At 34.4% G+C, this 12,915-nt stretch overlaps 1 protein-coding gene across 17 annotated transcripts in view; it reads right to left on the reverse strand.

Moving 5' to 3' along the window:
• The window catches only part of DMD (dystrophin), a 2,220,167-nt gene that overhangs the window by 1,483,206 nt on the left and 724,046 nt on the right, over window positions 1–12,915 (reverse strand). For all 17 annotated transcript variants that reach the window (XM_006724469.4, NM_000109.4, XM_011545467.2 and 14 more), the window contains 1 exon segment: window positions 11,876–12,026. In XM_006724469.4, coding sequence (XP_006724532.1) covers window positions 11,876–12,026 — 151 coding nt within the window.

Consider the following 12,915-nt stretch of genomic DNA (forward strand, 5'->3'; position numbering starts at 1 on the left):
AGAAGATTATTGGGAGAGAGTTGGGGTGGAAAGTTTCAGGCAGAGCACAGAGGAAATGCTATGCATTGTGCTGCTAACAGAATATAGTTGTGAAATTCAGTTCCAATGATTATCCTCCTGCTCAGACGGTATTGCCATTCTTATCATAAGCCTATATTCCTGTTTCCCTTATAGTCTCTTTTTCCTCTATTTTAAAGAACTACAGGAGTAATGGTGATGAATTATTTCATTAAGCATTTTGATTCTGAGTATTTAATGTGTAGCTACCACTACTGCTTACTCTATGTTTGAAGACTCATATGCACACAGTCTCTGTACCTTCTATCTAGACATTCCCAATCCTGGGAATCCAAATGCCACAACATCTTCAAATCTCTTTGTCACTTCTCTGCAACTGCTCTAGTCTCTAGGATCTCAGGTGGAGTCAAGCTTCACTGGAATCTCAAAATGGAGAGAAATGGTCTCAAAGGCAGACAGGTCAAAGTTAAAATCAGAATCTACCAATTAATACTGAAGTTACCTTGAACAACTCCTTAAACTCTTTGAACACATCTATTTGTCTGTAAAATCAAGTATTAATATCCTTCCAGGCCAGACACTTACAGAACATTCTATTCTACCACCACAGAATGTACATTATTCTCATCTGCACGTGGATCATTATCAAAAATTGAAAATGTGCTAGGCCACAAGGTGGTTCTTAACACATTTTTAAAAAAATCAAAATCATATCAAGCATCTTCTTGCACCACAGTGGAAAAAAACTAGAAATGAGTACCAAGAAGACTCCTTAAATCTATACAAATACATGGAAATTAAACAACCTGCTCCTGAATGATCTTTGGACAATGAAATCAAGGAAGAAATTAAAACTTTTTGAAACAAATAAAAAGAGACATACAACATACCTCCACCTCTGGGATACAGCAAAAGCAGTCCTAAGATGGAAATTTATAGCATTAACTGCCTACACCAAAAAGATAGAAAGATCTAAAATTAGCAAACTAATATTGTACTTCAATGAACTAGAAAACCAAGAACAAACCGAAACCAAAGCTAGCAGAATATAAGAAATAACAATGATCAGAGCAGAACTAAATGAAACTGAGATAATAAAAGACAAAAAATTAAAAAAATTAGAGAGTTTTCTTTGAAAAGATAAACAAAATTAATAGGCCACTAGCTAGATTAACCAAGAAAAAAACAGAAGAATCAAATAAGCAAAGTCAGAGATGATAGATGTGACGTTACAACTGATACCATAGAAATACGAAAGATTATCAGACTACTATGGGCATCTCTAGGTACACAAATTAGAAAATCTGGAGGAAATGAATAAATTCCTGGATACATATCAACTCCCAAAATTGAACCACAAGAAGCAAAAATCTTGGACAGACCAATAACAAATAGTGAAACTGAATCAGTAATAAATATCTCCCAATAAAATAAAGCTCAGGACCAGACGTATTCACAGCCGAATTCTACCAGACATGCAAAGAACTGGTACCAATCCTATTGTAACTGTTGCAAAATATCAAACAAGAGGAAATTCTCCCTAATTAATTCTACGAAGCCAGTATCACCATGATACCAAAGGCAGGTAAGGACACAACAAAAAGGAAACCACAGGCCAATATCCCTGATGAACATAGATGCAAAAATCCTCAACAGAATGCTAGCAAACCAAACCCAAAAGCATAACAAAAAGATAATACATGACAATAACGTGAGCTTTATGCCAGGTAGGCAGGGATATATGCAGAGCAATATCTGTGATTCACCACATAACACAATATATGTTTTGTGTGGTGCAATATATGCAGAGCAATATATGTGATTCACCACATAAAAAGAATTAAAAACAAAAAACATATGATCATCTCAATAGATGCAGAAAAGGCATTTGATAAAATCCAGCCTCTCCCCAAGATAAAGACCCTCAACAACTAGGCATTGAAAGAACATATCTCAAAATAACAAAAGTCATATATGACAAACCAAGAGCCAACATCATACTAAACAGGAACATGTTGAGAGCACCCCCCTCCCCCAAGAACTACAACAAGACAAGGATACCCATTTTCACTGCTCCAATTCAACATAGTACTGGAAGTCCTAGCTAGAGCAATCAGGCAAGAGAAAGAAATAAAAGGCATCCAAATTGGGAAAAAGAAAGTCAAATGATTTCTCTTCACTGATGATAGGATTTTACATCTAGAAAACCCTTAAGACTCCTCCAAAAGGACCCTATATTTGATAAATGACTTCAGTAAAGTTTCAGGATATGAAATCAATGTACAAAATTGGTAGCATTTCTATACACCAATAATGATCAAGCTGAGAACCAAATCAAGAACTCAATCTCATTTACAACAACTACAAAAAAAAAAAATACCTAGGAATGCCTTTAAACAAAAAAGTGAAAGGTGTCTACAAGGAGAACTACAAAACACCCATGAAATAAATCATAGATGACACAAACAAATGGAAAAACTTTCCCTGCTCATGGATTGGGAGCATCAATATTGTTAAAATAACCACACTGCTCAAAGCAATTTACAGATTGAACACAGTCCTTATAAATTACCAACATCATTTTTCACAGAATTAGAAAAAGATAGTAAAATACATAGAGAATCAAAAAAGAGCCCAAATAGTCAAAGCAATGCTAAGCAAGAAGAATAAAGTTGAAGGCATCACATTACCTGACTTCAAATTATACTAAAAGGCTACAGTAACCAAAACAGTATGGTACTGGTATAAAAACAGATACATATAGATTGATTTAACCAAATTAAGAACCCAGATATAAAACCACATATCTATGACCAACACATCTTTAACAAAGTAAAAAAATGTATATATACACTGGGGAAAGGACATCCTATTCAGTAAATTGTGCTGTAAATATTGGATAGTCATAAGCAGAAGAATGAAACTGGGTCATAAATCACCATATACAAAAATTAACTCAAAATGTATTAAAGACTTAAATGTAAGACCTGAAAATATAAAAATCCTAAAAGAAAACCTAGGAAAAACTCTTCTCGACACTGGCTTGGGCAAAGAATTTATGACTAAGTACTCAAAAACAAAAGTAGACAAATGGAACTTAATTTTAAAATCTTCTGAACAGCAAAAACAAACAAACAAAAAAACAAAAAACAATCAACAGAATGAACAGACAACTTATAGAATGGAAAACAATTCCGAACTATACATCTAACAAAAAACTAATATCTAGAATCTAAAAGTAACTCAACAAGAAGAAAAATAGATAACCCCATTAAAAAGTAGGCAAAGGACATTAGCAGACATTTTTTAAAAGAAGATATACAAGTGGCCAACAAACATATGAGAAAATGCTCAACATCACTAATCATCAGAGAAATGCAAATTAAAACCACAAGGAGATATGATCTCACACCAATCAGTATGGCTATTATTTGTTTTTTTCAATGTCATTTAAAAATTTGTGGGTACAGAGTAGGTGTATTTGTGGGGTACATGAGATGTTTTGATACAGGCATGCAAAGTGAAATAATCACATCATGGAGAATTTAGTATCTATCACCTTAAGCATTTGTCCTTTGTCTTACAAGCAACCTAATTATATGCTTTCACAGTTATTGTAAAATGTACAAGTTATTATTGACCATAGTTACTGTATGATATGATCAAATATTATGTCTTTTCATTCTTTCTAACTGTAATTTTTGTACCCAATAACCATCCCCACCTCCCTTCCACCACCCTTCCCAGTCTCTGATAACCATCCTTCTACTCTCTATTTCCATGACTTCAATTGTTTTAATTTTTAGATCCCACAAATAAGTCAGAACATAAGAGATGTTTGTCTTTCTGTGCCTGGCTTATTTCACTTAACATAACGATCTCTAGTTCCATCCACATTGTTCCAAATGACAGTATCTCATTTTTTTAAGGGGATACCTGTCATTAAAAAAGTCAAACAACAACAGGTGTTGGCAAGGATGTGGAGAAAAGAAAATGTTTATTCACTCTTGGTGGGAATGTAAGTTAATATAAACATTATGTAAAACAGTATGGAGATTTCTCAAAGAACTTAAAACACAACTATTGGATCCTGCAATCCTAGTACTGGGTATATACTCAACAAAAACAACAAAAAGTGTTACATGAAAAAGCTACCTGCAGTTGTATGTTTATCATAGCACTATTTACAATAGCAAAGAATCAACCTAAGCGTCCATCAGTAAATGATTGGATAAAGAAAATGTGATATGCACATGTATATATGTGTGTATATACGCATATATATATATATATATATACACACACACATACATATATATACACACATATATACACACACACCACAGAACACTACACAGCCTAAGAAAGTATGAAATCCTGTCTTTTGCAGTTACATGAATAGGAACTATAGGCCATTATCCTAAGTGAAGTAACTTGGAAACAGAAACCTAAATGCAACATGTTCTCGCTTATAAGAAGAAACTAAACAAAGGGTACACACGGACATCTAGAGTGGAATAATATAAACTGGAAACTACAAAAGATTATAGGCTGGTAGGGGGGTGAGGGGTGAAAAATTACCTATTGAGTATAGTGTTCGCTATTCAGATTATGGATATACTAAAATCCCAGACTCCACCACTACACGATATATCCATGTAACAAACCTGCACATGCACCCCCTCAATCTATTTTAAAACTTCTTCTAAGACATGCTTATTACTAGAGTTAAATGAGACAATACATTAACTTCAGCTTGTACAGTGCTTAGATTTGGTAGGTGGTGAGGAAATGCTTATTTTCTTTCATTTCTGACGTATTCACATTATCCTTGCATTCTTACACTGAGATTCATGGAAATAGCCCTTTTGAGCATCACTATTTATTTCTAATAACTTGGTAATCACATTATATTTCCATTATTAAATATCCTCAGTGTGCCAAAACTGTAGACCATTATGTAAAAATAGTTTAGTGCTTTTTTAGTCTTACTAGATATGACTTAGATAAAAATTTAATTGTTAAAGGATACAGTATCATTACTTCCAATGAATAAGAGAGTACTACCAGATGTACCAGTAGAAATCTACTAGTATTAGAAATCCACTAGAAATTCTGTTCATAACAGAAATATTAAACAGGATAGTTCTCCATATTCTTCAGAAAAAGTATCATATTCAACCTTATATTTTAACACGGGATTGGATTTACGGACATGCATTTTGTTATAAGATACGGTCATACATTTGATAAGGAAAATTATTGCCTTAAAATTCATGTTATCATGTGTGTCTTAGCTTTCTTGTAAGGTTTCCCTAAAATGCATTTTAAAATGTTTTTTATAATTAGTTTATCTACATTATTAATTTTGTATTACCTATACGAAAGAACTGAAATTGATTGTTACAGTACTGGTTCAGAGAGAGAGAGACATTTTACATGAGACTAACTCAGTAAATTAGAAATAGGGTACTTATTTTTTTCCTTTAAACACCATTGGAGAGGTCAGTGTCTTCTCATGAGGAAGTATTACAAGAGTAATGAAGTATAATAACTAATGTTAGTGCCTCTAAGATGACAGAGTCTTGATCAGGTATAATTTTCGTAGCTATACCGATATACTGTCAAACAAAGCTGTGACATTCTAAGTAATGTTACTGAATCAATACTCAGTAATTTCTAATAAAGTAAATAATAATCTGATAGCTAGAAATACTTGATTTGTAAAATAAGAATATGGGCATGGATTTTATATTATTATTATTTTAATAATCTATAGCATTACTGTGCAAATATACCCTTGGAATATGATGCTTGTTAATAGAATTCTTATGGGATATTAGATGTCTTCTCAATTCGATTTTAAAAATTGTAACTGAATATCATGCACATACTACTACGTAGACTATAAAAGTGTGATGTTCTTTTTTACATAAACTTCCAATCATTTATGTCAAAATAATACTACCACTCAAACCAATTTCATAGTCAATGGTTTAGCACTATTAAGATATTTGCATATGGGAATGCAACAGAGATAGAAGGAAAAAAGGAAAGTCAGAGATTGAAGACACCAGAGATAACATCACCAGGTAAGCCACTTTACAGATGTATTTTTCTACAGCTTTATGAATTTTTTTTTGCTGTATGCCCAACGTTTTAATTGAAATTATCAAACTTTCATGCCCTTGTCAGAAAGTTAGCCATGATGGAGACGATTTGGATAATAAAACTAGTCAATATAATCAGAACATGTGTTCTAAAAACATTTACTGAGCATCAATTATTGACTAAGCACTCTGAAAACACAAAAGAAATCTGGCTCTCTGGTTATAATACAGTATTTTTTCAGATTATAGTGTTTATCCCCCTTACCATCATAACCATTAAACTTTCATTAAGCACTTATGAGGGCAAAAGACAGGAAATAAAATGAAACTTCATAGCAGAAACAAACAACATGTAATTTTAACCTTGCTAAATATGAGAGTGAGTTTGCTAACCACTAAAAGCACCACTTGATCCTATGGCACTGTCAAACTTAACTGAATCACTTATCCTTCTTCCAACTATTGCATTTCTCTTTTTCACTGCCTATTTTCTTAATTACCAATCTCAAGTCCCAATTGCCCAGTCCCAGAATCTATTACTTTGAGCTTTTTGTTCATATCCTAAATCTAGTCCTATTGGTTTTGATTTGATATCCAGAATGCTTTGTACCTGTTTACAATTTTTGTTGTCATTGCTTTCATTCAGGCTCTATATACTTTCAGCAATATCCTCTTAACATGTTTTCCGGCCTCCTGTTTCTCTGCTCTTTTATTTATCCTCAAAAAATATCTTCTTAAATATTAAGATAAGTTTTCCTAAATTGCTGCTATTTCTAGTTTAATTTCTCATGAATAATGGTTTCCTGTTACTCATAGAACTACTACTGCAAATGCCTGAGTCTTTTATATAAGACTCATGATCACCCTCCATGATCAGGCTTAAATCCTCCAGCATTCAGTATAGTACAAGACATCGTAAATGATTGGTTTCTGCATTCTTCACAGCACCCATGTGCTATAATGAGGGTTTGTTCAGTGATATGGAATAGAATGCAATGGAATGAAATGAAATGTCAGATCCTTTGGCAGAATTATACCTAATCCTTCTCTGTAACATGAACATCTAGATCATTTTAAAGGTCACCAGATGAGGATATTTCACAATCTTGGCAACCCAAATGTCTGCCTTTAACTAACCTTCAAGAAAAGGATAGGTGACTGAGTTTCTAAGAGGCTACTTAGTTTGTATTAATCAGTATTTCACATATAACCTTCACTGAAGTCAGAATATAGAGTATATATTCACATCGGCAAATTCTTGTAATTTGTAAAGTCTTTGTTGATGCTGTCACCAAGGTTATGCATCTATGCACAAAAGTCTAAATCTCTCAAAAGAATGGAAAACCTAGCTAGTAAACTCAGCTTTAAACTTCATCGCAGTCTCACTGTGCCAGGAGACAAAAGATTTCACTGTTAAATATTTTCCTTTTGAAAAAAATGCCTCCAAAATGGCAAACTTCTTTACTATTAATGAAAGCTCAAGGCTTTTCCTCCTCAATAGCATCATGCCACTCCTTCGAGGGAAATCCTTTCATTCTTTGTCAACATCACTAATAAATTCTACCCCTTAAGACAAAAAAGACCAGCTAGAATTATATGTGATATATTTTTTCACAGGGGAATGAGAGGTTCGATTTGTTTACTCCCCAGAAAGACTCACTCTTGGGTGCCTCAAAGCTAAAGCAAACCTCTAAATTCTCTCCCTACAGCAATGTCTATGAAGGATGAGTGGTTTCTCCCAAATGGTGCAGCCAATTGAACTTTTCTTGGTTACCCAGAGTAAAGAGTTTGGCTAGATTTAATAGTAACCACCATATAGGATCAATTGCTTTACCTTACCTAATTGCCAGGTTCAGTAAAAGTGACTTATCTTCCTGACATTTCACAGTGTCTGAATTTCTAGCCTGCCTCATAATAAAATGCTGTTGAAATGAAGATAGCAAAGGATCCTGTCACAGAATATACAGAAGCATATCTGTAATATTCACAGTGTACTTGCAAGATTTGCAAACATTTTAATCTTGCCCTCCAGTTGAGAGAGAGAGAGCAGGCGACCTCTGATCTGAGCAGAATTTAAATCAATTCCCAGCAATAAAATCTGTATCTTTTCTTTAATTTTGTCATCTGCAATCATCTTTAAGAAAAAATGGTGATGGCACAAGGATTTAATGTCTATCTACACAAAGCTAAAAATAAATATTATATTAGGTTAGAAGTTTGGTGATGCAGCAGATGGGAGTTGCTTTTGTGGGGACTCTAAGGTTACTGATGCATTTTGTTGTCAGAAGGAGAAATTTCCTTACTTTCAATGATTTACAATTCTTGGGAAAAAAAGCTGCAAAGCGATTCAACGACTATATAAATAAGGCTTTAGTTTGAACTCAGTTACCCAAAGAAGTAACATTTATTTTCTTTTGTTTTATGAAGTGTGGCAAGACTAACAAAACAGTGTTCCTTTAATTCTGTATGTATGCTCCTTTTAGTCTTAAAAGACAATATAATGTACATGTTTCAGGTTTAAATAAAGTCAACTCTTTGCTAAATTGTTTGATGTTAAGTCACCTTCTTCTCGCCAAAATTGTTGCCAAGAAACAAAAGAGCATTATCAATATTCAGGACTTGAATATGAATCTTTCCCTTAATTTTTATAAAAAAAAAATCTGTCAAATATTTCAAAAAATATTGTCAAATCTGTCAAAAAAAAGAGTGCTCAAATAGTTAAAAGTAGGAGTTGGCCTTACTCTCTGAGCCAGAAAACCAATGCCTTCTGGCCTCTTTATGCCCTTTAAATAAATAAATAATGCCTGGAGGTAAAATGTTACATAATCAACTTGCATATACTCCTGTTGCCTTCTTTTGTTTCACATTTTTTCTTCAAGGCAATTTCATAGTCATTAGAAATGGCATACTTTCAAGTAATGAATAATATATTTAAATTTTATGACAATATTTGTCAAACGTTTTCCATTTCATTCACATTATATCTTTCAGAAAAAACTACAAAACATTTCAGGTACCTGGCAGAATATTAAGATCCTGGATAGCTTGTCTCACCTTAATGAAGAGTCTGTTCAGCGTCCCAAGCTAAGAACTTCCTTCATAGCTGCCCTAGGTTATCCGTACTTAGCTATGCTAACATTCTTCTTCTACTGCTCTTTTGGAGCTCTTCTCCCTGGATTTCGCTTTACACTCCAGGCATCCAGCAGCAGTGTCCTGCCTTCTGATGTTCAGTGTTACGTGGCCTAATCTTGGCCTTTTCTAAAATACTTCAACTTCCAAAAGTATTGGACACATTTAAACTGTGACTGGAAGGAACACTAGAAACAAACTCACTCTTTTATTTCCAAAGTAAAGATACAGAGAACCTGGGACATTAAGTGATGTTTGGAAAATGACAATTTAGTTAGTGGTAGAACTGGAGCTCGAATTCTGGCTTCTAGTGGGAGAAGTTTGTCTTGGGTTAGATTCCTCCAAAAACACATCCTGAACAAAAGATTTGTGAACAAATAAATGGTTTATTTGGAGGGTGAACTCGTAAGGCATTATGAGAGCACGGGGACGTTCAGGAAGTTACCCTGTGGATACCTGGAGCTCAGTCTTACTGGGGAATCTCTGAAAGACTGTGGAGAATATACCTTAGAAATGTCCCACTATGGGACAAAGATTCTACAGGATTTCTCTATCAACTTTTACTCCTCATTGGCTAAGGGCAGCTCTGGTGGCACTAATTCCACTTCCTGTCCACCTTCAAACTGGCTGAAATGGTTCTGCACCAGAAATACCCTCCGGTAGAGAGAAGCCATTGCTGTACATCAACCTTGTCCAATCCATGACCCAGGATGGCTTTCAATGTGGCCCAACACAAATTTGTAAACTTTCTTAAAATATTTTTTCAATTATTTCTTTTAGTTCACCAGCTATCATTAGTGTTAGTATATTTTATGTGTGGCCCAAGACAATTCTTCCAATGTCGCCCAGGGAAGCCAACGGGTTGGACACCCCTGGTTTATATAGACACTTTCTGCATGTAACTTCCAGTGTAGGCCAAGGGAAAGAGGGCAGATATAGTGTCAACGAGAGAAGCAAATGTGCCACATCGGAAAAGCGGTACGGTTAGAGAACTAGCACTGTACCTAACTTCTTCTTCAGGTGCTCAATTAGTATCTATATGACAAGTAATCACAGTTACAATTTCTACATAATTGCAATACAGTTGATGTTTTTTTCCTGATGGCATAGCAGACGGGGATTACCATAGTTACAGTTCTTCTTAAATGCTAGATCTTAGAGGACTCCTGGGGGTCAATAATAGTAAGGGCTGGCCCCATTTGTCATTCAAAACTGAAGCTCATTAAACTTAAAAAAAACTCTAGAACTTAGAAATAAATGTATCTTTCATTTGCATGGAAGAACTGTAAAGCTATATATGACTGAATATTATAAAAAGAGAGAATTAAGTTTGACAAAAGGCAGATTTCGAAGGTATGAGGTAAAGGAGCAGATATTCCTATTCAAAGCCATAAATCCAAAAACCACAGATCATAAGTAGAGTTGCCAGATAAAATAAAAGACACTCAGCAAAATGTGAATTTCAGATAAACAATGAACAATTTGGGACACACACTAAGAAAATTATTTGTTGTTTATCTGAAATTTACATTTAAGTAGGCTTCTTTTATTTGTGTCTGCTAAATGTGGCAACCCTAATCCTGGGACAATTACAAAGGATCTTGTGTGTGTGTGTGTTTCCTCATGAATTGAGCAGGAGCCTATTTCAACAATAAAACTCAGAGCTAATTGTAATATTTTATGGCACTTATTAAAATAAAGCACCCTCATAATTTTGGATAAGAAATATTATTGTAGAAGTCTCAATAACAGAAACAAAAAAAAATGCTTTCTGGCAGCGAGGGAGCATAACTGGAAATGTACAAGTAAACTGAAGAAAAAAGATGGAAATATTAACATTTAAAAAATGTCATATTCTATAGAAAAGCAATGCTTCAGACTCTCATTTATCATCAAGCTTGGCCAGCTTCAATTTACTATAAATTGAATGTAAAATTACATTAAAAAAAATCGTAGCCTTATTATTTAAATTTGCATTACAAGTAATCCCTATGAAGTCTGTCTTCCAGGAAAGCAAATTTTTAATAAATCACATACCCTGCGTTGTTCTCATCCACAAATATGTTTGATTTCTTTTCCAAATACGAAAAGCCTAGCTATGCTGTATTTTTTAAAAAAACAACAACAAATGTCTTAATCCATTTTGTGCTGCTGTAACAAAAATAACTGAGAATGAGGTAATTTAGGAAGAATGTACCTTTATTTTTTCACAGTTCTCGAGTTTGGGAAATCCAAGATCAAGATGTTAGCATCTGGTGAGGGCCTTTTCACAGAGTTTTCACATGGTGGTGCATGGTGGAGGGTCAAGAGATAGGAGAACACTGTGTGAAGCCTCTTTTATATGGGACTTGATCCTATTCTTAAGGGAGGAGCCCTGATGGATTATTCACCCTTAAATATTCCATCTCCTAATACAATCACCTGAATTTTGGAGGGGACTTATTCAAGCCATTGCAACAAAGATTGCAAAAACAATTAGGTAAAAATAATTTTTAAAATATGGCTGACTTTAAGTTTTAATTCTCTCCCATCAACCATGTCATCTGTGTTACTGTGTATAGGTACTATACACAGAGTTTGCTTTCTAGTAGAAAGCACGCAACATAAGATACACCTACCTTATGTTGTTGTACTTGGCGTTTTAGGTCTTCAAGATCAGGTCCAAGAGGCTCTTCCTCCATTTTCCTTGTTCTTTCTTCTGTTTTTGTTAGCCAGTCATTCAACTCTTTCAGTTTCTGATTCTGGAGATCCATTAAAACTCTATGTAAACTGAAAATTTGAAAGAAGCCTATTATGACCTCTTTGAAAGCAACTTATTACTGAACATCACAATGTAAAACAATAGAATTTATAATATATGGAATGTTCGCATTTGGGGGCATCTATTGGACATTGAGAAGGATGTAAGTAAAGCCCACTATCAGTCACCCCGGAACTATTATTTCTCAGACTTATAATAGTTCACAAATCCTGATTTCTAAAAACTTTCACATAGTCAACTAAATGTGAACATGCTAACTGAAGTGCAAAGCATCTGATAATTGACTAAGTAGTATATTTTGGCAGTTGTTCGTTTACATTCTCATTATTTAGTATGTGTGGTGGTTAAAGATGGCCACAAATTCTTTGTCACTTTTCCCTTCAAGAGATGAGGTCTATTTTCCATCCCTGTGAATATGATCTGGACTTGTGTTTTTTTTTTTGACCACAGAATGTGGCATAACTGACACCACACCAATTCCAAGTGTAGGCTATAAAAGAACTGGCAGCATTTGTATTTCTTCCTCTCTTGAAGCCTAGATTCCATGCTGTAAAGGAGGCCAGGCTACACTACCGAATCATTAGAGACCATATAGGAGTGATTCTGCAGGATAAAATACTGTATTAGAAGTGAGCTTCCAGCTCAGCACAGCCCAAGGGGTGACCCCCAGCTATAAAACTAGTAATATAAAAACAACCTGGCTGAGCCCTGCTTATATTCTCGGTCTTCAGATCATGACGCAATTATAAATTGTTTTAACCCATTAAGTTTGGACGTCATTTGATACACACAAATAGACTAGAGAAAGGGTGCTTTTTCCCCACAAAGATATAGAAAATAGTGGGCTGGGTAATGAATTTAAAGTCCAAAGGCCTAGGTTCACAGCCCAGCGGTAAG

This window comes from Homo sapiens, chromosome X, assembly GCF_000001405.40.
Source record: "Homo sapiens chromosome X, GRCh38.p14 Primary Assembly".
Lineage (NCBI taxonomy): Eukaryota > Metazoa > Chordata > Mammalia > Primates > Hominidae > Homo > Homo sapiens.